This window comes from Homo sapiens, chromosome 1, assembly GCF_000001405.40.
Source record: "Homo sapiens chromosome 1, GRCh38.p14 Primary Assembly".
Classification (NCBI taxonomy): Eukaryota; Metazoa; Chordata; class Mammalia; order Primates; family Hominidae; genus Homo; species Homo sapiens.
The window spans coordinates 72716997-72744734 of record NC_000001.11 but is presented as its reverse complement, the minus strand read 5'-3'; the positions used below and the strand labels follow the sequence as shown (position 1 = coordinate 72744734).

The following is a 27738-nucleotide window of genomic DNA, read 5'->3' as shown; positions in this document are numbered from 1 at the left end:
TTGAATTAATTAGGAATGAAAAAGGGTGTCATTGCAAAATAAATACCTTGAAAATAATTTCTAAAATAGACAAAAAGTGAAATCAACCCTTGAAAAAAAATGATGCTAACTGTAGTACCTGATACTCATGGGAATATAAGTGGATGTGAATATGTGTTTAATTCATATAAGTGGATATAAATAAATATTTAATTCCTCCAGTGGGTGTTTGTTTATAGATTCAGTTATCTTTAATCAAAATACAGACACTTGGGTTTATCTGATTGGCAGAAGTGCTGCTGGGTAATGGCATTTTCTCTTTGAGTCTGTATGGGTCAGGAATCCCAGCAAAAGGACAGGAAAGGAGATAGGCATTCCATGCTAACTAAGGTATGCAAAACATAAAACTTTTTTTCATAAACCTTAATTTATATGTCAAATACTAACTTCTGGGAGAACTCAGTCATTTGCATTATTTATTGGGCATTTCAGTTAAAAACAATCCCATTCAGGATTTCTCTCCTGTCCATATTGTTTACTCAGGATGTGGCATTTGGGCCAATGAAGGCTCATGGCAATGGATAGGGTGTCTGGCATTAATCTGGTCTTTGAGGATAGTTACTCTGTATTGGTGAGTTCACTGCTGACAAACCTCTTCTAACTGATGCTTCTCAGCCTCCTCTGTTACGATGTAAACATCCTCACACTGGGGCTCCTGAATGTCCCATGACCTATCTTTCTGTCATCTAACTTTGGCATGGAACCCAGTAAAGCTTCTTTGAAGTTATTCTGCCTACATATATCTGGGTCTAATATTGCCTTTCCAAAACTTATCCTTTTATCCATATTTGAAGAGTTTTGGAAGGGAAGTCTTGGAAGACTTGGAAGCAGTTTCAAAACAAATGATATCTAAGCGAATTCTCCTTTACACAAATTATTTAGCATTTGACTTTAATTTAATCTAGTTTTTTGTTTTTTTTTTTAACATTAAGAGCCAAGTATTAGACCTCATTCTGTTCTGTTCCTTAATATCTTCATCCCAGTCCTCCAGCCCCATCTTGGAGTAGAGTTTGGGCAACTTTTTTAAGCTCTCCTTACTCTCAATTTGAGGTGAATGCCAGCTTCAAGTCTAAACAGTCTTTTCAGTAGCAGGATTGATGCAGGACTAATTTATTAAATCCTAGCTCTCCAGAGTGGTACATTGTGATTGTCTGCTGAGGGATCATCTCTGCATTTAAACTTATTGGGTCAGTGCCTATTTGCATGTGAACTGACTGGTGCTAAGCATCTCTGGTTAGTTCTGTTCTCAGTATTGTACAAGTGTTCAGTCTAACAAAGCTAACATGAAAATAGGCACAGGGACATTTGTGTAAAGACCTCTTCCTAACCATCAAGTTGGTTCTTAGTTAAACTTCTTTGTCCATAGTATCTCTAGGCTGCAATAGTTTAACTGGGCAATAGACCAAAAAATGCCTTACAGCTAAGCCATGCTGGTGATTGTCTGTGGCTTCATTCCCTCCCAGACAAAATCCTAGTATGTCTCAAAATAATTCACCTTTTATGAACCGAATATAAACAGATGTATTAATTTTAAGTAATAGATTTTGTTTTTGTTGTAATTATATGTGACCTAAAACATGAACCCAAATCCCATTTTTCACTGAAAATTTTGTTCAGACGTTCACTTATCTTTTTGAAAACTAGGCTTGAAATTATAAATACCACTGCACCTAAATCTAATTATGTTATTTGGCTTAAGATATTCTAAAGAGGACAAAACTGTGTTTACTATCTTCTTATATGACTAAGCCCTTTGAAGGAAATAGCTGTAATATTTATGTACATCTCTGGATGGACTGATGTGGGGAAATTTTTCTTATAAAAACCCATATTCATGCATATTACTATTAAAGTATTCCAGTCAATCACTGCAACCTGGTTACCTTCACATAAATTAAAATTACTTCTGTGAACCTACATGTTCTTATATCTTTGGGCTTAGGTCAAGGCTCTTTTCTTTGCGAAATTTTCTCTGATCCTCACAGAAAGGGGTGACTTTGGGAGAGTTGGTTTGTGGATAAGTGAAAATCACTTTTTTCTCCTGCAGGATAATATAGTTTGTGGGTTATACATTTATTATGGAGCTTATTCTTTTTAATACTACATTATTAATTTTCTCCTTGAGTAAAGAAACTGTTTATCTAGTTCAAATTGTTATCTTTCGTTTCAGTACATAGCAGAGAATTTGCCCATAGCAGACGCTTCTGGAGGTTGAGTTTAATGTATTGATGAATTATAATTTCTGAAATTTTTGCATTAAAAATTTTGTCAGTGGTCTTTTACTATTCCTATCCTGATATAAAAATAAAAAGGCCTACTTGCCTGGAATCAATCTAGAAAATTAACTGTCTAAGAAAATCATTTGGAAGCTGCAACTAGTCAAAGATAACTAGTTATTTTTCAAGAATAGCCCCTTTAAGTTAGATATATAAAATCTCATTGCATAGGTTTGCTGAGCAATGACACTCAAGCCATCAACAGAAACCCAGGGATCACTTTCATTGAATTCAATTCTCATGATCTTAGATCATATTCCATTAACTTGACTTGAGTCAAATCAATTGAATTGCCATAGACATTACTACTAAATTCTGCATTTCTCCATCTTAGGTCAAAATATTTGTTAGCTCTGCCAGTGGCTAAAAGCACTTAAGCAGAAACAAAAATAGACTGAAGAATAGGGGTTGGGGTTGACATAAGATCTGTTGTCAATCCTACCCTGCTTATATGTGTGTTAAAATATGTCTGACCTATTTTCTTCTGTAAAAAGTCATTAAGGACAATATTTATTCCAGCAGGTATCAGGTAGAGTTTGAGCAAGTACTTGAAGCTTTCTTTCCATATCTCTCAGAATGCACTTGATTTATAATGGGCCTCTCATTTGGATCATCCATCACTCTGAAACTAAAGCTGCCATTCAATATTTGGCAGTTAGGGTGCCAAATTAGAAGATTTTTATATGTCCAAATCGGGATAGAATGGAGCTGCCAAAATTGTACTCACTTGTGACCTAAATATCCAAGAAAGGAAAAGCCAATGCCATTAAAAAGTGTGTCATCTCCTCTCTATGATTCAGTAATGAAAACCTGTCAGTTGCATTCTGTTTAATCATTGGAAGTGGTGTGCACTGTATCTGTGAAGTCTAAATGGAAAAAGTTGCCACTGCAATTGCCAGCTTCCTCCTACCAATAAATCAATGTAGAAGAGGAGGGGAGAAAGAAGGCCATCCGACAGCTCTCCATCAGAACGCCAATCATAAATTAGTACCTACAGAGAACATATCATATGAGACTGTCTTTTCAGGGACTCAGAGTTAAATAATGAACAGAGACACTTTAATTCAAAAAGGTTGCAATTCCAGAGATATCAGAGATGCATTTAATTAAAGCAAAGGGAACCACACAGTGAAAAAGTTCATCCTGTCTCTGAAAGGAGAGCTGTCTACCTGCTCTTGATTTTTGACACTTGGAATGGTTAAGATGCTGATGAGTTTTATAACTGCAACTAGAACAGACCCTGACTTCTTTCACTGATAGTATTTCTTAAGACTCTCCCCATAATGTAAGGCAAATTTATTGTTTTCTCGTGTTTTGAAGGAAAGCACCATTGTGTAAAATATGATTTTCAACTTGACAGCAGCATGCCCAAGTGATTTAGGTGATATTGGATTATTGCATAGGTTCGCTGCATAAACCTAGAAAAAGAATGCTGGTTTTGACAGCAGGAGAAGGCACGTTTCCTTCCTAAATCATTAAGTTAGAAATATACTTGTTCAAAACATATGTTGTATTCTATGTTTCTTGGATTTGGCATATAAATTTTAAAAGAGTTGATAAAAGACCAAGTAAGTTCATATTTTAAAGAGAAGAAGAACTACATATAATTAAAATCCAAATTATATTAAATTACTATTAACCTGATAAATACATTAAAATTATATATGAAGTTACTGACTTTGTAATAGTGTAACAAAAATATCAGTTGCTTTTCTCTCTTCTCCCATAATACCTGCAAAGTTTAGAGTATCTTCTACCTTGTGGCCTTTATTATCTTTCAGTAAAGTGTGCTGTAATTTACTTATTTGTTTTGAAAAATAAAAATGGTACTAAAAATAGGTAGTACACTATCTCTAAATTTTGCAAATGTCTTCCCTGAGAATTAGATTTTTATTCTCAAAAGGCTCAATTTATATCATGCCATGATTATGATTATCACAGGCATTTCCTAACATTTTAGTAACCTGTTCTAGAAAGACATGCAAATAGTATCTTAAAATAATCAAAAGAGAGCAAGAAGAGACCTGAGAACAAATTAGGTTCAAATTCTACCAAGTATTGCAATAGTCCTCAGAAAGCCTTGATGATATTGATTGGGCCTCTGCTTGAACATTTCCAACAAAAAGGTATGCATTATCTCAAAAGGATGCTATTTTACCCCTGGATAATTATAGTCATTAAAAACATTTCACTTTATATTGAGTGAAATACAAATAAAAATAGTAAAATTTTGCCTGTCTTTTGATGTGTCAGTTAGGGGCTCTGGGGTCCATGTTTTTACCCCCATTCTATACTTCATTCCTGTTGAAATCAACCCCAGAGCCAAATAATTATCTCAGCTATCTCAGGTGGTTTAACCATGGTCAGTAAAGCAGGACTGTTATCTCATTTAATTTGAAAGGAAAACTTACATTCAAATATTAACATTTGCATATTTTGTATATCAGATTGTTTTCTAAAAAGAGGTGTCACCCTCAAATGGGTAATTTAGGAGAGTTTAGTAAAGAAACTGTTAAAAAGTGTGGGCAAAATTACAGATGACCAACAATTGGTGAAGCGCCCTGGGGCTTGCAGCAAAAGAGATCTTGCCTCCTCTAGGCCTGAAGGGGAAAGAGGAAGGAGAAATGACTGTCACCCAGTGATCACAGTTGTAGTTTCTCGATAATGTAGCTTGACAGGAGCTGTGGCTTTGGTAAAGACCAAAATGGCCCAGCTGGAGGGAACTAAAGACTAAATGCCCTGTTTGTACTATCTTTCTGTCTTTTGATCTCCTGTTGATGGCTTTTATTAGAAACACAACCACAAGCCAGAAGCAAAAATGCTCACTGATGCAGTCCGTTCATATCAGCCTCCCTGGCCACAGAGCAAGGTAGAGAGAGGTGAAGAGTGGAAAAAAAAAGTGCAAATGAAATATTAGCATACTATGTACTGGAAACTATGATACATTGTTATAATTGCTTCATGGACTATGTAAAAAGGTGAACATGTATCACCAAACATAAACAAAAAGCGTGCCTATTTTAGCAGTTACAAGGAAAAAAAATCTATGGGCTGGAAGAGGTGTGTGTGTCTACTGACACTGTGGGCATTATTTCATTGTTTTATGAATAATTCAAAGTTTTACATTTCTTTAAACCAACTTAGTTTCAATGCATTGTTGCAACATTATTTTAATCCCCCATCCCTACACTAATTAATACACACACACACACACACACACCCCTAAGTGCATACGTATATGTAACTAATCTCAGCAATGAAAAGAACTTAAGTCCTCCCTGTCTTTCATGACAACCTGTTCTACTTTGTTTTAATCCTAAACAAAATAATCCTAGCCTTTTGTTTACAAGCTCAGTATTGAAGCTTTCCTTCTTCACTTATCATATTGCTGTTGTTCCTTCTCTAATCTTCTTACACCAGTTCACCAATGACTAGAATTCTAGCTTAAATTCTAGGTCCTAAATTTTTGCGTTTGTAACAATAACTCCCCTTGTAATTAGGATCTCTAGCTCCTAACACAAATTTGTCAAACCAGATATTGTTATTTGTGCCAGTAATTCAGTAACTAGGCTATTGTCTTACTTTTCATCTCCTAAGGAGCATGTTTTCTGAAAGGCAACACAATTTATGCCCCTGAAAAATCACAGGATCTATGTGGCCATTTCCTCAATATCTTAGTACAGGACCTGGCATTATTTTGGATATATAGTAAACATTTTAGATATATCTTCTGATAGCAAATGAAATGCTGCCACATAATGCAATGTCTGCTCATTAGTTCCCTAAATTGCCCCCAATTACTTGCCACTAGCACAGTGCTAATTGTAGAGCTATTCTTATTTTATTATCTGATATGGTTTAGCTGTGTCCCCACCCAAATCTCAGCTTTAATAGTGTCTCCCAGGATTCCCATGTGTTGTGGGAGGGACTCATGGGGAGGTAGTTGAATCATGGGGGCCATTTTTTCAGGTGCTGTTCTCTTGAGAGTGAATGGGTTTCACAAGATCTGATGGGTTTATCAGGGGTTTCCGCTTTTGCTTCTTCCTCATCTTTTTCTCTTGCCACCACCATGTAAGAAGTGCGTTTCACCTCCTGCCATGATTCTGAGGGCTCCCCAGCCATGTGGAACTGTAAGTCCAATTAAACCTCTTTTTGTTCCCAGTTTTGGGTATATCTGTATCAGCAGCTTGAAAACAAACTAATATATTTTTATTGGGGATATATGACTCAACTTGAACAATGGACATTGATGTTTCTGCCTCACTTGGGCATTTCAATGAGTCCATTCTCTCAAATTCTGACCTACATTTAGATGTGCTTTTTCATGAAGATATCCTCAGAATAAGAATCTCCAAGCCTGAAAACTTTTTGTCAAGCTCCCAGTTTCACCCAATTATGCTACTTCTGCCTACATTTCTTTGGCTTGGTCTTTCTCAGCCCAAAACTGTCCCACTACCCACCTAATTATTTCAAATCCCATTGAAATGTGTTGATTGTTTCAATTAAATATTTAACATCTAAGATATTTAAAACATGTCTCTAAGCCTTATGAAATAACAATAAAATGAACAGCACAAATACTTTTGAAGTTTCCTTTGTTCATTTCTATGATTCTATTCTCCTTTCCCCACCAACTCTACAACCACTATCCTGAATTTTGTGATTCTCATTTTCATTTCCATGGTCTATTCACAAACACACACACACACACACACACACACACACACACAGCCTATATTTTGAACTCTATATAAATGGAATCATACTTTTTACAAACTTCAACAACTTCCTCTTAATGGTAAACATCTTCTTCATTATGTTTATCTATGTAGAGGAATGCAGCTATAATTTATTTATTTTCATTGGTATATAGCAAAATGCATCATAACATTGAATCTGCTCTTCTTTCCATTAGCTTTGTATCTGCATTTTTTCTAGTCTTCATGCTTGTTATGGATAAAAGGATTGCCTAAGTTAAGGCAAGTTGAGGCTGTTACACACTTCAGTTCTGTGTGAGTGAAGAGAATCTAAATCTAAATGAAGCTTAACATAATCAATGGTTAACTTGATCAGATGCGAAACAAATCATAACCACTGACATGCTCTGAAGTCAATTTTCCCCATGCAATTAAAAATGCCTGGCAGAGATAAGACAATAGATTTCAGAATCAAATTGCCAGGGTTCTAGCTATAATTTTGAAAGTCACGCAGTTTCTCTCTCTCTTTCTCAATATGCTTGTTTATAACACTAAAGCAGTTTATCCTCAAAAAATGTGTATGAGGATTAGACAAAATACTCTGTGTGGAATATGTAGAATATATTCTATGTGGAATGTATGAAAATACTCTATGTGAACTATAAATAGGGTAACTTTATCATGAAAATAATATATATTTCAAGTGCCCTAGAGAGGTTCTGGCAAAGTGTTAGGATTTTTGCAAAATCTGAAAATAAGTAAGTGGGTTATTTAGAGTTAAGGAAGACCTATCACTTTTTCACGTATTCTTCTCATTCATTATACTTTCCCTTTTCTATGATACCATTGGAGTGATATCTACTATATGGGAAATTTTGCTAAGGGAATTTGGGTTAGAACAATAATTTGTCTGGATTTCATGGGATATACTCTTGTGATTAGAAGTCATTTTCTTTATGGTTAGATATAGTTAGTCAAGGAATTCATGGTAGATATGTAAGCCATGTAAGCTTCCAGAAAAATTCTTGCTACTGCTCACTCTGCAAACTAACCCAGAATTTTGACCTCTAGAAGAGGGGCCAGAGGTTGACTCATAATATGAGAAAGTGTCCTCTGGCCCATGGCAACAGAAGTATGTGTATAGTGAAGAAAAAACAAAGTTAGGAAACCAAAAGCAAACCAGTAAGCAATTCTTTTAATAACATGTAAAATGTTAAGCAAAAAATTTACTTTTCCTAAACACCAAGTGAAAATAGATTTTTTTCTTCTGTCAGAAATATTTGATAAAGCAAGATATACAATTATAAGTGAAATATAAAATAAAACAATGTTTGCATGTGTTGTTATATAAATTCAGTAGAAATTACTGTAGCAATAAGAAGTGAATTAAAATAATTTTCAGGTCATTCCAAAGTCAGCAATTCATTAAGCAAAAGATTTTACTACAAATAATATATAGGCTTGACTAATTTAAGAGTCCAATTAATTAATGAAGATTTTTTTCATAGCAGAAAAGTTGTTTTTTTTTTATGAATTCAACACAAAATACTGATATAAGCCACTGCAGTAAGGAAATAGAAATGACAAATTATTTAATAGGTATTGTTGATTCAAAGAATATTGAAGATGAGTAACTGCACAAAAATACCTAAACTACTCTGAAATCTTACAATAATATATGAAAGAAATTTTGTGAAAGTTTTTCCAAAGTTGACAACAATCCAAAAATTTACATGGCATTACCAAAGATGAATTATTAGGCTGAGAGAATCTTTTCTAAACTATCATTAAATAAAACCAGTCATCCTAATGGAAAGATGGAATTACCTTTCTCTTCTCCCTTTGAGAAAAAAAATGACAAAATAATTGTCATATGAAGAAATAATCAAAGAACATAAAACCAAAAAAAGTAGATTTTAGAGCTATTGTAATAAAATGTATTACTTTTCTGGAATCGTCCATGTTTTAGATTTGTTAGATTTTTGAAATTATGTAACTGGAAATGATTTATATTCTTATTCCAAGTAAATATTCATATTCATACTTAATTTTGTATTTCTCATTTTGTATTTTATTTTTACCTACAGAAGTTTTTCTAAGTTATTTAAACTTCTCACCACACAAAATCTGGATTTGTATCTGTCACGTAGTAATTGCTTGATAAATGTGAGTATTCATAGCTATTATATATATAAGGTATTATATTATATATATATACACACATATATATATATATACATATGTATGGACATGCAAATATATAGATGATCTCACATTTTTATGTATTTAGAGATATTAATGAAAAAATGTACATTTCTGTAAGTATCCATTTTTAATTAATGTAGCCTCTACTTAAGTTCTAGAGGCATAGATGATGTGTTTGAACTCTCTATCTTTTCACTCTGTGAAAAATTTCTATGCCTTTTTTATGTGAAAAGACATAGAGTTAAAAACATTATCATACACTTAAAAAAATTAAGTTTTTAGCAGATACTTTAATCAGGAATCACAATATTTAAAAACCAGAAACACAAACAAGAAAATACACATTTAAAATATGAATGCATTTGTGAATACATAGTATCACTGTTTACAACTGAAATCTAACATGTTTGCCAAACTATCAAGGCATTCCACAAGCTTCTGAGTTATGCGTGGAGACAAAGTTTATATTTGAACTCTATCACCTAGAATTTGACTCGATAATATAAGAAGAAAAAGTATTTTTACCTCATTGTGTTGAACACATTGTCTTGAAAAGAACTGGTATCAATTTTTGAAGCTTCAAGAATAAAGCATAAAGTAAAAATACAGCTTGTCAAAAAAAACATAGTGTAGCTGTTTGTGATACTGATATGAAATAAGAATTTCATGTTATTAAAGCAGATGACAGTTCAATCTAGTGAAAACAATGGCATTTGAAAAGTATTAGATCTATGTATATAAAATAAGCTTATATTAATATGCACACAGCATGAGTATATACACAAGTTAACATTTCAAGAGTTAACATTCTTGGCATTATTCACAATTGAAATTATAAAAGGCATTTTTGTGGTGGTTTTACAAATATTTTTAAATGACTATGTCACAGTTATGTCATGTTGTTTTATATATTGCAAAGATAGTCATTTGGCACAGCATGAAACAGTGTTATTGCTGGGTCTACTACAATATGGTATCATTTGTTCAAAGTCCTTCATATAAGTGGTGTTTTAGAAGAAAGAGTCATAAACTTCAGATTTAAAAGGCTTGACTCTGAACCCTAATTCTGCTCTTCAAAGCTGCGTGACTTTAAGCAACAGGACTAACTTCTCTGTACCACTTTCCCTGCTATAAAATGGTCAATAATATTTGTCTTTCAGATTTATTGTGAGGGTTAAAGCAAATATGATGGCACATTACTGGCCACATACTGGCACATTACTGGCCACATACTGTCACATTTGGTGGAATTTCAGGTCCACTACTTCTTTTCCCTCCCACACAAGCTCATGGGAGGAGAAAACTATCAGAAAATAAGGCAATAATAGTGATCTTTGAGATGCACAATTGGTTTACAATGTTAAATTATAGGTTATTTTTCCAGAGTAGGAACAGAAATACTAAAATCTCTTTCAAATGCTTTGGAGCTTTGAGGAATCTTGGAGAAAATTACCAATGACATTGTGTCTGTTAATAATGTAATTAAGCATGTCACTGACAAACCGTAAACACATATGTTCAATCTTCGATAACTAGTATAAGGACAAGAAGTGTGCTATAGAGTCTGTATTTTTTCTGCAATGAGTTCACTATACATATACTTTAAAGAACTTCTGCAATAGTAGATACCTGGCAGGTAATTCGGGATCCTTGTGTTTCCCATACATCAACATGACATTGCTGAGAGTTTAACGTTTCTCTTTTTCTATGCCTGGGACATAGAAACATGGTCAGCACTGAATTGCAGAAAACAGTTCAAATTAAACAGCACCAATCATGTCCCTGGCATATATAGTGAACACTGTATATGATATTTCCATGATTCTTACAAAAATTCTGTGAGGTATCAATTTTCCATTTTGGGTGAAGAAAGTAAAGTACAAAAAATAAGTAACATGCATGAAGTTATACAATTAATAATAGAGAGAAATGGGAAGTAAACATGAGTATACATGGATCCAAAAGGCAGAGGGAAAGATTATCCAGAAAAAGCATTTCAATAATTTACTCAAAACCATATAGTTATTAGTTTTAAAAAAAGATGGCTACTGAAATGTCCTTTGTAAGATGCCAGGAATTAGTTGTATGTAACCATAAATTCTGCAATCATATATTAAATGCATATGATGTACAAGTCACATGTCCCTCTACATTGAATTATCTACATTATTAGTGGTTAAATGCAGACAATAGGTAACCATAATAGTAATTATAATGAGGAATGAAATCTGCTAAAACAGACAAAAATGGATTTCTATGAAAATGCAGATGAAGAGCCAAGTAAATATTTCTAAGGAAATACAGTAAGGCTTCCCAGAAGAAGCAACATTTATATCAAATCTTAAAGATATAAAGCACATATAAATATGCTTTATTTTAAAGGATAGATAATATAAAGCATATATGGTTTTGCTTTTTAAAAAATATTTTGTAGAGAAAAAATATTTTTTAAAAAGCAAAACTGAAGTTTTCTGCTAAAGATTAGAGAAAGGCAAGTGCAGAGATTTAGAGGTAGTTTAATTAAAATATTACATTGGTTATGGCCACATGAAAAGATGTTGGCATTAATCTCAGCATAAAACTTATGTAAGATGGGATAAAATTGTTAAAATAAAAACATGAATTTTAGGCCACTAGAAAATCAACCCGAGCAGGCAACAATTTTATAACTGTTTATTCATAGAACATTGCCGCATCAGATCAGAGAGTGAGTTTGTGATCTTCTTGCCCAAGGATACTCTTACCCCTTAGAAAATAGGTGACAAAAACCTACAGTTTTAGTGGTAGAGGTAGGGGACTTAGTTCAGAGAGGAGAAGAACAGCTAGAAATTTAAAGGGACAATTTTGGAAGAAAAAAGGCACAGATAGGCTGAGTTAAGAAACTCCCCACACATTTCTCTCTGCTAAAATATATATGCCACCAGAAGATCCTAGAGAGCCTGAAAAAATTAAAACACTAGCGATATTTTTGAATTTTTAACAACTTTAAAAGTTTCCCTCAACCTAAACACAAGTCATGCAGTAAAGAATAAGCTTTACTGGATTCTAATATCTAACTATAATCTCCACTCAAACAAAGCATTGACTTACTGATAAACTGAGAACAAGAGATATTTCCAGAGAACCACACTAAACTATGCATCCCATGATGGAGATACTGTTCACAGTTTGAGTTGAGACAAGCTGATTCCCTTCTAAAGCAAAAAATAAACAAACTTCTGAAGAACAAAACAAAATCAAGAGTTGCTACAATGTATTATCTACAATGCTCAAATTTAATGACTAGTAGTTTTATGACTAGTAATTTTACCAAGAAATTACTAGACAATAAAAAAATTGATACATATGCAAGGGTTTTAAAAAGTCAATCAAAATTGATTCCAACTCAGAGTTAGCAGAAAAATACTTTGAAGCAGCTTTTATTAACACTTCAAAGAACTAACGGTAAATATACAAAAAATAATCACGTTAGGAATCTCAATATAAAAAGACAAACAGAAGTTGTGGATATAAAAGTGATGTCAGCAAGATGGCCAAATAGAGGAGTCACCCAGCATTACTAACTTCAAAAAAATACAACTAGAAACGATTCAAAAACAAGAATACCAGCCTAAATACACCAGAACTTTAAAGAGATGCCTAATTGAGAGAAGTTACAACCAGTAAAAAAAAAAAATCATTTCAGTCTGTGCCAACCCCTCCTGTAACCTGGCATAATGCCATTCACAGATAATTTTCTTAGACTTATGGTTGCCAAGGTGAGAGGAGGAAATTAGAGTAGATGTTCCATCTCCCTGCTTGTTTAGGAATCTTCATGGGAAGGTCACTCTCATACCATCCCACAGGAGCCACTGGGAATGCAAGGAGGTCTAGACTACCTGGGATGAATTGGGGACAAAGAGAAGGATGCTGATCACAGTGACTGGTATGCAGATCTTGGTGGTTACTCAACACTTCAATCAGCAGGGAAACCATGTTGAAAATACTAGCTGATATCAAGGCACTTCAGGGGCACAATTTAAATGGAGGCCCAAACTCCTAGCTAGATTTTTCACAAATCTCAGAAGCTCTGGTGGAGCCTTCCCTTGGTTTGGAAACAAAATTGTGGAATTAAGTTCCAGTGCCTGCTTAACGCTTCTCCAGACTGGGAAAAATAGCGGGGAAGCAATATAGTTCAGGACAGTAATTAAGCTCTGGTGCTCACTTTAAGTCTTCCCTGGACAAAGATATGATGACAAGACAATGATTTAGCTCCAGTGCAGTGATTTAGTTCTGGTGATCACTGTAAGTTTTTTCCAGAATGGAAAACAGTAAAGGCCACTATTTATGCTCTGATACTGGAAAGTAAACGTCTAACATCACCAAAGAACACTTGCAAAAACTGAAAGAGTTGGCTGTCTCCACAAATGGGCTGTCATCAATGTAAAAATGTAAGAATTGTGAAAAGTCAGGGAAATATGACACCACCAAAGGAAACAACAAACACCACCAAGAGCTCCAGTAATGAACTCAGAAGAACTGAAGATCTGTGAAATTTCTAACAGTGAAATCAGAATCATCCTCTGAAGGAAGATCAGAGAATCATTTTTAAAAATGGATGAAAAAGTAAATAAAATTTGAAAGTCAATTCAGGATGAAAATGAGAAATTCAACAGAGAAATAAATTAAAAACAAATCCCAAAGAAAATCTTAGAAATAAGTAATACAACAGCTTAAATAAAAGCCTCATTAGAAAGCTTCAACAGGAGACTTGATCAAACAGGAATTAATTAGCAAGCTTATAGACAAAACATGTAAAATTATCTAATCAGAGGAGAAAAAAAGAATTAAAAACAATGACAAAGGCATACAAAATTTATGGGACACCATCAAGTAAACTAATTTCCATGTAATTGGAATTCCTTAAGAAGATTAAAATAGAAAAATCTTAAAAAGCATATTTAAGGAAATAACGAACATATTTTAATCTAGAAAAAGAAGAGGAAGACAAGATCATCCACGTATAAGGATCTCAGAAATCACCAATTACTTTCAACACAAAGAAGAATTACCCAAGTTATATCATAATCAAATTAGCAAATCCAAACACTAAAAAATAAAAAATTCAGTGCAGCAGGAGAAAAGAAACATAACACAAGAAGTGGAGTCATTATATGCCTTTCAACAGATTACTTAGCAGAAGACTTGCAGACCAGAGGAGAGTAAGATGCTGTATTCAAACTACTGAAGGAAAATAAAACCTGCTTACCAAGAATACTGTAGCCCAGCAAAGCTGTTATTTAAATGTGAAGGACAGATACTTTTCCAGATAAACAAAAGCTGAAGGAATTGATCAAACAAGATATATCATACAATAAATTTAAAGGGACTTCTTCAATCTAAAAAAAAAAGGATGCTACCAGGTAACACACAAAAAATCTGAAGGTATAAAACTCACTAGTAAAATAAGAAAGCAGAGATATTCATAATATTCTAATACTGTAATTTTGGTAAGTAAAACACATATTAGACTGTAAAGACCAAAAGCAAAACCATTGAAAACAACATAACTACAATAATTTGTTAAGAGGTAGGCAACATAAAAAAAGTAAAATGAAGCATCAAAAGTCAAAATATAGGGCTGTAGTATTAAAAGTGTAGGATTTGCTTTTGATACTTTTCTTTGAGATCAAAGTTGTTGATAGTTTCAAATAACCTGTTATAAGATATTCTTTGTAAGCCACATGGTAACCACAAAAAAAATCTGTAATAGATAAAGTAAACATAAATAGCATGGAATCAAACATATTGCTAGAGAAAATCACTTAACCTTAACCACAAAGGAGGATAATAATAGAGAAAAAAATGAATTAAGAATCTACCAAAAAATTCCCACAGAAAACAAATTACAAGATGGCAATAGTAAACTCTTATCTATCAATAAGAACCTTGAATAGAAGTGGATGATATTAACCAATTAAAAGTTATAGAGTGGCTGAAAGGATTAAAAAAATAAGACCCAACAGGTTGCTGTCTTCAAGAATATCACTCCATCTATAAAGACATGCAAAGCCAAAAAAATGTAGGGATGGCAAAAGCTATTCAATGCAAATGGAAAGGGAAAAAGAGCAGGAGTGGCTCTACTTATATCAGCTAAAATAGACTTTAAATCAAGAAAGGTGAAATCACAAACTACTTCAGCCATCGTGGAAAACGGTTTGGCGATTTCTCAAATAATTTAAAACAGAACTAATATTTGATCAAAAAATGTCACTACTGGGTATATAACCCCCCAAAATAATTCATTATATCAAAGAGACACACACACACGGCATATGTGTTCATTGCAGTGCTCTTCACAATAGCAAAGAAGTGAGATAAACCAAGATGCCCATCAACAGTGGACTGGATAAGGAAAATGAGTTACATATACACCATAAAATACTAGGCAGCCACTAAAACAAACAAACAAACAACAACAATAAGAAACAAAAATCATGTCCCTTGCAGCAACATGGATATAGATGGAGATTGTTCTCAGCTTTTTTGGTTGGTTGGCCATTTATAACTGATTCCATTTTGAAGCTTGTTATTGGTTTGTTTAAGGAATCCATTTCTTCCTGGCTCAGTCTTGAGAGGGGGTTTGTGTCCAGAAATTTATTCATTTTTCTAGAATTTCCAGTTTACGTGCATAGAAGTGTTCATAATATTCCCTGATAGTTATTTATATTTCTGTGAGGTCAGTGGTAGTATCCTTTGCTGTTTCTAATTGTGTTTATTTTCTTTTATTCTTTATTAGTCTAGTTAACAGTCTATTTCATTAATCTTTTCAAAAAACGAACTCCTGGATCCATTGATCTTTTGAATGGTATTTTGTTTTCCAGTCTCCTTCAGTTCAGCTCTGATTTTGATTATTTCTTGTCTTCTGCTAGGTATGTGTTCTTTTATTTGTGATGTTAGGTTTTTAAATTGAGATATTTCTACTTTTTTTTTTTTTTTTTTTGAGATGGAGTCTCGCTGTGCCACCCAGGCTGGAGTTCAGTGGTACAATCTCAGCTCACTGCAACTTCTGTCTCCTGGGTTCAAGTGATTCTCGTGCCTCAGCCTCCTGAGCAGCTGAGATTACAGGTGCCTGCCACCATGCCTGGCTAATTTTTGTATTTTTAGTAGAGACAGGGTTTCACCATGTTGGCCAGCCTGGTTTCGAACTCATGACCTCAGGTGATCCACCCGCCTCAGCCTCCCAAATTGCTGGGATTAATATACAATTATGTTATTCCTGAGTATAATCACCCTATTGTGCTATCAAATAGTAGGTCTTATTCATTCTTTCTATTTTTTTGCACCCGTTAACTATCCCTTTGTCCCTCCCAACAAACCATTACCCTTCCCAGCCTCTTATAACCATCCTTCTACTCTCTATGATCATAAGTTTAATTGATTTTATTTTTAGATCCCACAAATATATGAGATCATTCAATGTTTGTCTTTTTGTGTTTGGTTTATTTCACTTAACATAATGATCTCCAGTTCCATCCACGTTGTTGCTAATGACTGGATCTCATTTTTTTTTTATCGCTGAATAGTACTCCATTGTGTATATGAACCACATTTCCTTTGGTCATTCATCTGTCAATGGACACTTAGGTTGTTTCTAAATCTTCTCTATTGTTAACAGTGCTGCAACATACATAGGAGTGTATCCATCTCTTTGATAAACTGATTTTTTAAAATTATTTGGGATATATACCCAGTAGTGGGATTGGTAGATCATATGATAGTTTAAGTTTTAATTTTTTGAGGAACCTCTGAACTGTTCTCCATCACTATGGAGAACTAGTTGTACTAGTTTATATTCCCATTAACAGTGTAGAAGAATTCTCTTTTCCCCACATCCTCACCAGCATTTGTTAATGCCCGTCTTTTGGATAAAATCATTTTAACTAGGGTGAGAGGATAACTCACTGTAGTTTTGATTTGCATTTCTCTCATTATCCATGATGTTGAGCACCTTTTCATATGCCTGTTTGGCTTTTGTATGTCTTCTTTTGAGAAATATCTATGTAAACCTTTTGACAATGTTTTTATCAGATTATTAGATTTTTTTTTCCAATAGAGTTGTTTGAGCTTCTTATACATCTTCTTGTTATTAACCCGTTGTCAGAGGGTAGTTGTAGTTTGCAAATATTTTCTCCCATTTTGTGGGTTGTCTCTCCACTTTGTTGATTGTATCCTCTGTTGTGCAAAAGTGTCTTAACTAGATGTGATCCCATTTGTCCATGTTTGCTTTTGTTGCCTGTGCTTGTGCAGTATTACCCCAAAAACCCCTTTTGCCCAGACCAATATCATGAATATTTTCCCAATGTTTTCTGGTGGTAGTTTCATACTTTGAGGTCTTAGAATTAAGTCTCAGGAGCTCTTGTAAGACATATCTGGGGGTAATGAATTCCCTCAGTATTTGCTTACCTAAAATATATCTTATTTCTCCTTCATTTATGCAGCTTAGTTCGTCCAGACATGAAATTTTGGGTTGGAATTTCTTTTTAATAAGAATGTTGAATATTGGCCCCAATCTTTTCTGGCTTGTAGGGTTTCTGCTGAGGGACTTGCTGTTAGTCAGGTGGGCTTCCCTTTGTAGGTGACCTGACCTTTCTTTCTAGCTGCCTTTAACATTTTTTCTTTCATTGCGACATTGAAGAATCTGATGTATGTGTCTTGGGATTGATCTTCTTATGAACTGTCTTACTGGTGTTCTCTGAATTTCCTGAATTTGAATGTTGGCCTCTCTAGCTAGTTTGGGGACGTTCTCATGAATGATATTCTAAAATATGTTTTCCAAGTTGCTTACAATCTCCCTATCTCTTTCAGGTACATCAGTGAGTCATAGATTTGTTCTCTACGTAATCCCATATTTATCAGAGGTTTTGTTCACTCATTTTCATTACTTTTTTCTGTATGCTTGTCTGATGTCTTATTGCAGTAAGCCAGTCTTCAAGCTCTGAGATTCTTTCCTTCATGTGGTGTATTCTGCTGTTAATAATTGTGATTGTATTATGAAACTCTTGTAGTTTGTTCTTCAGTTCTATCAGGTTGGTTGCATTATTTTCTATGCTGGCTATTTTGTCTGTCAGCTCCTGCATTGTTTTATTGTGATTTTTAGCGTCCTTGGATTGGCTTTCAACATACTCCTGCATCTCAATGATCTTTGTTCCTAACCATATTCTGAATTCTAATTCTGTCATTTCAGCCATCTCAGCCTGGTTCAGAGCCCTTGCTGGAGAGGTGATGCAGTTTTTTGCAGGAAGGAAGGCATTCTGGCTTTTTGAGTTGTCAGGGTTCTTGTGGTCATTCTTTCTCATCTTAGTGGGCTTGTGTTCCTTCCATCTTTACAGTTGCTGACCTTTGCTATATATATATATATATATATATATATATATCTCCTATTTGATGACCTCACAGGTTTGATTGTGGTATAAGGTGGATTTAGTCAAATGGCTTTGTTTCTGGAACTGCGTGGTCTAACTCTGGGACTTGTATTGTGCCTCGACTTTGTTCTCTGGCTTCTCAAGGTTAGGAATCCACGGTACTAGGGGCGCTGATGTGCTCCTGAACTACTGGTCACTACACTCCAATGGATGGTCTCAGCCAAAGCATTTATAGTGTGGTGACAGCGGGACTCCTCCTCATTTGCATGTGCCAGCAGCAGCCTTTGCGCATGGCAGGGTGCGTGCTCCTTGGCTGTGGCAGGGTGCTAGCGGGGGCTGGGGGGCCCTGTCTCCACAGAGGCATTCACCACAGCAGAAGCAATGTGGCTTTAGGGGAGATGGCGGGTGGGGGCCCCTCCTGGGAACTGCGTGCATGGTCATGCTGGTGATGGTTTTGGCACCAGGCGGGCCACTGAAGGGTGCAGGCCTGTGTGCTTTTTCTGTGTGCCACAGGCAGGGGTGGTTACTCAAGGCAGGGGAAGGTCCGCTGTTCTCTGTGCATAGTTTCACTCCCATGGCTGGGAGGGGCACTGGCAGGAACGGAACAGGGCTGGCTGGCTCTGTGCCTGCCAAAGCTCTGAGTGTGATGGTGTGGTGCTGGGGCGGGTAAGTGGACTACACTCCCACTGCAGCAGTGGCAAGGCAGAGTGCTCACACACGTGCGCTGGCAGGGCAAAGAAAGCAAAACCCACTCCTGTGCACATGCCCCGGCAAAGCTATATGATAGCTGCCGTGGGCTGGGGGAAGCTGCTGTGTAGGGAGGGAGTGGGTGGGCTGGTGCATGGCTGTGAGGGCCGCTTGCTGAAGCTCTCTGCTGGTCAGGCATGGTCCCCTGGCACAGAAGCTATGATGCAGGCCCCCAGGGCACCCGAGGCTGCTCTGCAAGCAGGTAACCAGGCTGGGGCCACCGGAGAGGCCAGCAGACCAAGGGGTCCTCAGGTCAGACTGGCCCCATCTGATGGGCAAGACTGCCCTCCAGAGTTCAGTTGCAATAGCTCCTCTAGAGCTAAAGTTTCTTAAGGGAAGCCAGGGGAGCCCAGGGGAATCACCATCCCTGGCTGTGGTCCACTACAGAGGCTCTGGCTCCAAACCCGCTGGGCTCCACATCAGCTGCCTTGCTGCCCCTTCCATTCCTCTAAGTAATATTCCCTTCCAACTCTATGTCCCTGGTGGCAAAGGGGTCTCCTCCTTCCTGAATTCCAGAGGCCTGTAGAGAGAGCAGGTAGCTCCTTGCCAGTTCTCCTTGCTAGAATTCATCCATTCTTTTAGACTCATTGGGATATTTATGACTTAATCTTATATTTAGAAAAACCTAAAGATTCCACCAAAGTCTGGTAGAAATAATTTTTTAGGCCGGGAGAGATGGCTCACGCCTGTAGTCCCAGCACTCTGGGAGGCCGAGGCGGGCGGATCATGAGGTCAGGAGTTCCAGAGCAGCCTAACCAAATGGGGTGAAACCGTGTCTCTACTAAAAATACAAAAATTAGCCGGGCGTGGTGGTGCACGCCTGTAGTCCCAGCTACTCAGGAGGCTGAGGCAGGAGATTCGCTTGAACCCGGGAGTCGGAGATCACGGAGCGCAGATCGCACCATTGCACTCCAGCCTGGGTGACAGAACTAGACTCTGTCTCAGAATAATAATAATGATAGTAATAATAATAATAATTTTTAAAAAGTAAACTTTCCGATTATAAAATCAACTTACAAAATCAGTAACATTTGTATACACCAACAGCAATTAATCTGAAAAAAATTCAAGAAAGAAATTCAATTTACAAATACCTGCAAAGATAACTAAAAAAACTACCTAGGAATAAATGTAATAAAAGAAGTGAAAATCTATACAATAAAACTATTAAATACTGATAAAAAATGAAAAGAACACAAAAAAAGGAGAGCTATCCCATGTTCATGGTTTGGAAGAATTAATATTGTTAATAAGTTTCATACTACCCAAAGTGGGCTACAGATCGAATGCAATACCTATGAAAATGCCAGTGACAAGCTTCACAGAAATAGAAAAGCAATACTAAAATTTATATGAAGTCACAGAGTACCCTGAATAGCCTAGGAATTTTCAGCAAAAATAACAAAACTAGAGGCATCACATTATCTGATTTCAAGGTATACTACAAACTATAGTAACCAAAGCAGCATGATACTTGCAAAAAAGCAGACACATAACCCAATTGAACTGAACAGAGAACACAGAAATAAATTCACACACTTACAACCAACTAATATTTGACAACAGCGCCAAGAACATACACTGGGGAAAGAATAGCCTCTTCAATAAATGGCGCTAAAAAAGCTGGATAACCACATGTAGAAGAATGAAACGACTCTTATCTCTTACCACATACAAAAATCACATCAAAACTTATGTAAGCCTTAAATGTAAGACCTGGAATTATGAAAATAGTAGAATAAAACATTGGAAATGTAGAAGAAATATTGGAAATGGAATGGAATAATGGAAATATTGGAAGTAGTATAAGAAAATTGGAAATGGTTCAGGACATTGATTTACACAAGGATATTTTGAGTAAGGCAACAAAAATCAAACAACAGACAAATAGAATTTCATCATGCCAAAATATTTCTGAACTTCATCAGAAACTTCTGAATTTCATCATGCCAAAAATATTCTGAATAACAAAGAAACAGTGAATGGAATAAAGATACAGCCTACAGAATGAAAGAAAAGATTTATTTGACAATAGATTAATGACCAAAATGTATTTTAAAAAATCAAACAACTCAACAGAAAAAAACCCCACATAATCTGTTTTAAAAAATGGACAGAGTATCTGAATAGATATTTATCAAAAGAAGACATGCAAATGGCTAACAGGCACTTGAAAGAATTCTTAACATAATTAACCATCAGCAAAATGCAAATCTATACTACAAAACTATAAAATCAACAAATCAAAATCACAATGAGATATCAAAGGATAGTAAAGATATCAAATGAGATAGTAAAATGACTATTATCAAAAAGACAAAAAAAACCAGATGCTTATGAGTTTATGGAGAAAGGAGAACTCAGATACACAGTTGGTGGAAATGAAAATTAATACAGCCACTATAGAAAGAAGTGTGGAGTTTTCATTAAAAAATTAAAAATATACCTGCCATGTTGAACCAGAACTCACGCTGCCATATATATGTATATATCTCAAATGCGTGTGTATATATACACAAATGTGTGTGTATATATACAATTGTGTGTGTGTATATATATACACACACAAATATTTATATCTCAAGTGTATATATATATATATACACACACAAATAAAAAATCAGTATGTTAAACAGATATCTGCATTTTGATGTTTATAGTAACACTTTTCACAATAACAAAGACATGAAATTAACATAAGTGCCCATTAACAGAAAAATGAATAAAGTGAATATATTATACATGGAATATAATTCAACCACAAAAAAGAATGAAATTCTGTCATTTGCAGCAACATGGATGGAACTGGGAGTCATCATGTTAAGTGAAATAAGCCAGGCATAAAATGACAAATTTCACATGTTATCATTGATATGTAGGAGCTAAAGAGTTGATTTCATGGAAGTAGAGAATATAATGATGATTACCAGAGGCTGGGAAAGTTTTAGGGAGGAGAGGGATGAAAAGAGGTTGGTTAATGAGTAAAAAACAGAATTAGATAGAGGTAATAAATTTTAGTGTTCAGTAGCACAGTAGGATGACTATAGCTAACAATAATTTATTGTATATTTCAAAATAGCTAGAAGAATTGAAGTGTTCACATCACAAAGAAATAACAAATGTTGGAGGCAGTGAATATCTCAATTACCCTGATTTGATCATTACATATTTTATACATGCATCAATATAACACATGTAACTCATAAATACATATACTCATTGTGTATCAACATTTTTTTAAATTCTGAGATAAAAATATACAATAATTGAAATGAAAATTTCACTAAATGACTCAAAAGCAGAATTGATAAGGCAAAATAAATGAGTAATTGATTAAAATAGATCAGTAGATATTCATTTCAAATTATAAAAAGAAAAAGAATTGACTTAAAATTAAGTCATAGATGTGTGGGAAAATATCAGATATTTTAGCACACATTTTATAGCTTTCCAGAAAAAGATGGGGCAGGCAGAAGGCAGAAAATCATTTGAAAAGAAGTTTAATTAAAAATACAAACCGAAAACCATACTGATCCCAAGAAACTTATCCAACCTGAAATATGATAAACACACCAAAAACAAGAAGAAGAAAAAAAACCACAGAGCTAGACATACTAACATAAAAATGAAAAGCTTGGTCAAAGGAAAAGAAAAATTAAACCTCAGTTGCAGGAAACAATGATATGATTAACAGTTAACTTCTTATCAGAAATGACAGAAGCCAGAAAACCTTGCAATGACTTATTCAGGTTGCTAAAAAGTGAGGAAACAAACAAAAACATAAAAGCTGTCAGTAAAAAATCCCATATTTAGCAGAACTCTTTTTTTACAAGTAGTAATGGAATAAAGACACTTCAAATAAAAAAAATACTGATATAATTCATTGGTGGTATAATTCTACTTAATAAAAAACTAAATGAACTTCAGTGTGAAAAAGATCACATTAGATGGTAATTCATATATAGAGGAAGAAACTAAAAGTACTGGAAATGGCAAATATGGGGGTACAATTTTTAAAACATGTATTATTCATATATACCTATATTCATATATGAATATAGGTATATATATATATAGGTATACATATGTATATATATATAGGTATAGGTATACATATGTATATATATATAGGTATAGGTATACATATATAGGTGTACATATAGGTGTATATATATATATATACTCATATATCTATTATATATATAATTCTTTTATGTTTAAAACACATGTAATTACCTTAGTGGGCATTGAATTATTTTACCAAACTGATTCAAAAAACAACAGAAAAATGTAAATGTCTGTATATCAAGTAAAATATTTCATTACTAATTAAAAACCTTCCCTGAAAGAAAAGTCTAGGCCTGGTGACTTCATTGTTGAATTTTATAAAACTATGATGAAAGTACTAATGTCAAACCTGGACACCCTTTTTTACAAAATAGAGGAGAAAAGATTACTTTCTGACTAATTTTGTTAGGTCAGTACCACTTTGTCACCAAAGGCAGAAAAAGACATCACACAACAATAGAACAAGCAAAAAATAACAAAATAACTATGAAACAATATCACAGACTCTCAAAGATGTGAAAATCTGTAACAAAATGTCAGTAAATCTAACTCAGCAAGAATTAAAGTATTACCAAGTATATGCAAGCTTGGTTTAAAATCTGAAAAGCAATATAATACACTATGTAAACTGAATAAATTAAATATTAGATAATATCAATAGACACAAAAACGTTTGACAAATTCACGTATTTAGCATGGAAACTCTTAAAAACAATAGAAATCACCCTCTTCATCCTGACAAAGGACATATTAAAAACCTAAGCTGTCATTTTACTTAATGGTAAGACTGATGCCCTCTACTGTCTTCCCTTCTGAAAAAGCAAAGTTGTCTGCTTACACCAATTCCACTTAACAATATTGGACATTCTAGACAGTGTAATAAGAACAGATAAAAAAAATATTCACTCATATTTGAGTAGAGGATGTAGAACATAATCATGCATATAGCTATGGAAATTAATACATGATTTTAACAAGATCAATATAAACATCAGTGTTATTTCTATCAGCAACAACAATCTGAAAATTAAATTAGAAAATTAAATTGATTTTATTGAAAATAGCTTCAGAAAAAATGGAAATAATAATAAGTTTAAGAAAATATATTCAAGACTTGCACACTAAAAATCATAAAATATAGCTGAGATCATTACAGAAGACTTAAATAAATGGAGCAATACACCATGATCATGAATTTGAAGACTCAATATAGATAAAATGTCAGATTTCCCAAAGTGATGTAGAGATTTGACACAATACCAGTAAAATTCCTGGCATTGTTTTGTGGAAATTAACACAATTATTCTAAAATGTATATTTAAACTCTTTAAATTCCTTTTTATTTTACATACATTTTTAAATAATTTAATATATTTCTTTTATGCAAAAATCATAAAAACAATTTAAAAATGAGATTTTAGAAGAAATAACTGTCACTTACAAAAAGATATAAGATAATGAAAAAGCAGCCACAGAATGGTTTAAAATATTTGCAAAGCATACATCTAACAATATATTGCATCCAGTATAAAGAAAGAATGCTTACAACTTAACAATAAGAAAAATGGCTCAATAAATAATGGTCAAATATTTAAAGAAACACTTCCCAAAAGAAGATATATGAATGACCAACACACATAAAAAAGAGGTCTACATCATCAATCATTAGGAAAATGGCAACTATAACCACAATGAGATTTTATTACACATTCCCTAAAATAACTAAAAATGAAGAAAACTGATAATACCATGAATATGTAGAGAAACTAGAATCTTCATATATTGGCTGGTGGGAATGCAAAATGGTACAGGCACTTTAAAAGTGATTTATAACTTCTTAAAAAGGTACACCACTGACCAAGCACCTCCCATTTTAGTTACCTGCTAAGAAAAATGAAAACAGATGTCAAACACAGATGTGTATTTGAATGTCTTAAAAGTATTATCTAACATAGCTATAAACTGTAAACCATTCAAATATCCTTCATCTGGCTAATGAGTAAAGAAAATGTAGTATACCTATACATTGGAATGCTATTCAGCAATAATAAGAAATCAACTACTGATACAAATAGCATCCACCATGAATGAATCTCAAAAATAGCACACCAAGTGAATGAAGCCATACACAAGAGTACATACCGTATGATTATATGAAATCCTAGAAAAAGGGGAAACAGTAAAAGAAAGTTAGCAGTCAATGGGTGTTGGGGGATTGGAGCACAGATGTAATGCAAAGGAGCATGAGAAATTTCTTTGAGGTGATGGAGGTGTACTAAAACTTGATTGTGATGGTTCTCATATTATTCCATTCATTTACCAGAAATAATTAAATCCTGCACTTAAAATATGTGAATTTTATTTATAGAAATTTTATACATAAAGATATAAAAAATCAGAAAAAATATCATGGATGAACTTTTTATTCCTTAAAATGTCTAACGTTTGACCATTTAAGTATGGTGCTAGCTCAAGGTTTTTCTCAGATGCCTCTTATTAGAGATGCCCATTTTGTCTATTTTGCTGAGTATTCCTATTCTATATACTGAATTGTGTTAAATGATTATTTTGCATAAATTGAAAAGTTTACAAGAAAAGTTGATTTTTTTTTCTATTTTTAATGTGATGAATTGCATTCATGATTTGAGTAGGAATCAACCCACAGAGTCATGATGTATACATATTTATTTTTTGCTGGTTACAACTCGTTAATATTTTGTGATAAGATTTATACATCTTTTCATTTGGGCTATTAGTCTTTAATTTGAGAGATCTTTTGGCATCATGATTATCTCAGCTTTTTAAAATCAGAAGAAAAGTGTTAGCTTCTCCATTATCTGGAAGTTTTTATTGAATTGATATTCTTGCATCCTAAAATGCTTAGTAGAATGCCTTCTCAAAATCAGCAGGATCTCTAGTCTTCCTGTGAAAATATTTTAATAACATTTAATTCCTTTTTAATAGATTACACATGTAGTTTTTTTTTGTCAGTTTCACTAATTTGTATTTTCCAAAGAATCGCCTTTGTATAATTGTCAAACCTATTGGCATTGAGTTATTTATATTTCTTTATCATTTTTTATATCCATAGGAACTTTAGTGATATTCTGTTTTTTATTCTAGTTATTGGTAGTTTGTGTTTTGTCTTTTTTGTCTTAATCTTGCTGATGATAAGATTTGTCAGCATTATTAATTTTTTTACATAATCAACTGTAGGCTTTGTTATTTCTCTCTACTTTTTCTATGTTGTTGATTTCTGATCTTATCCTTAATGTATGCATTCTTCTACTTAATTTGTATTTAATTTCCCCTTTTTTTCTTAGCTTCTCAAATGGAATTGTAGATTACTAATTTTTGACCTTTTTATTTTTAAATTATATAGATTTGAAATTATGAATTTCTTTTTAAACCCTGCTTTAGATACATCACACAAATTTTGATACTTTGTTTTACCGTTTTTAGAAATGTTTTCTATTTTCTCTTGTGAATTCTTATTTGACTCAGGAGTTATTTAGAAGTATGTTGTTTACTGCCCACTGGGGCAGCACATATACTAAAACTGCACTGATACAGAGAGCATTAGCATGACCCCTGTGAAATGATGGCATACAAATTCATGAAACATTTCAAATTTTTCACAATAAAATGATATAGGAGCTTAAGGATGAAATAGCCGGTATAAAAAAAAGAACCTAATAGATCTGACAGAGCTGAATAACACAATGCAAGAATTTCACAGTGTAATCACAAGTATTAACAGCAGAATAGACCAAGCAAAGGAAATAATCTCAGAACATGAATAATGGCAGTCTGAAATAAGACAGTCAGACAAAAATAAAGGAAACTAATAATAAGGAATGAATAAAACCTCTGAGAAATATGGGATTATGTAAAGAGGCCAAATCTATGTGAATCACTGGCATTGCTGAAAAGGAGGGGAAGAAAGCAAACAACTTGGAGAACATATTTCAATGTTTTGTGTATGATATCAGTTATCAATACAGGAAATCCAGGATATAGGATATTGTCCATGAAAATTTATCAAACCTTGCTAGAGAAGCCAACAGTCAAATTCAAGAAATGCAGAGAACGCCTACAAGATTCTACACAAGAAGATTCTTTGTAAGACACATAATCATCAGAAATTCCAAAGTCAAAATGAAAGAAAGTGAAAGGCAGATAGAAAGGGTAGGCCACCTACAAGGGGAAGCCCATCAGGCTAATAGTGGACCTCTCAGGTGAAACCCGGGAAGCCAGAAAAGATTGAGGACCTATATTCAACATTCTTAAAGAAAAAAATCT

The 27738-nt window shown here is 34.0% G+C and overlaps 1 long non-coding RNA gene and 1 pseudogene across 4 annotated transcripts in view; both read left to right on the top strand.

Annotated features, from left to right (window-relative positions):
- LOC105378798 (uncharacterized) overlaps positions 1-27738 on the top strand; it is a 69237-nt gene that overhangs the window by 21953 nt on the left and 19546 nt on the right. For 2 of the 4 annotated variants that reach the window (NR_188686.1, NR_188684.1), the window contains exon 3: positions 9100-9178. The exons of the other annotated variants lie outside the window; for them this stretch is intronic. This is a non-coding gene — a long non-coding RNA (uncharacterized LOC105378798). The remainder of the gene's footprint in view (positions 1-9099; positions 9179-27738) is intronic. 4 annotated transcript variants of the gene reach the window in all.
- On the top strand, positions 26966-27072 carry RNU6-1246P (RNA, U6 small nuclear 1246, pseudogene; annotated as a pseudogene).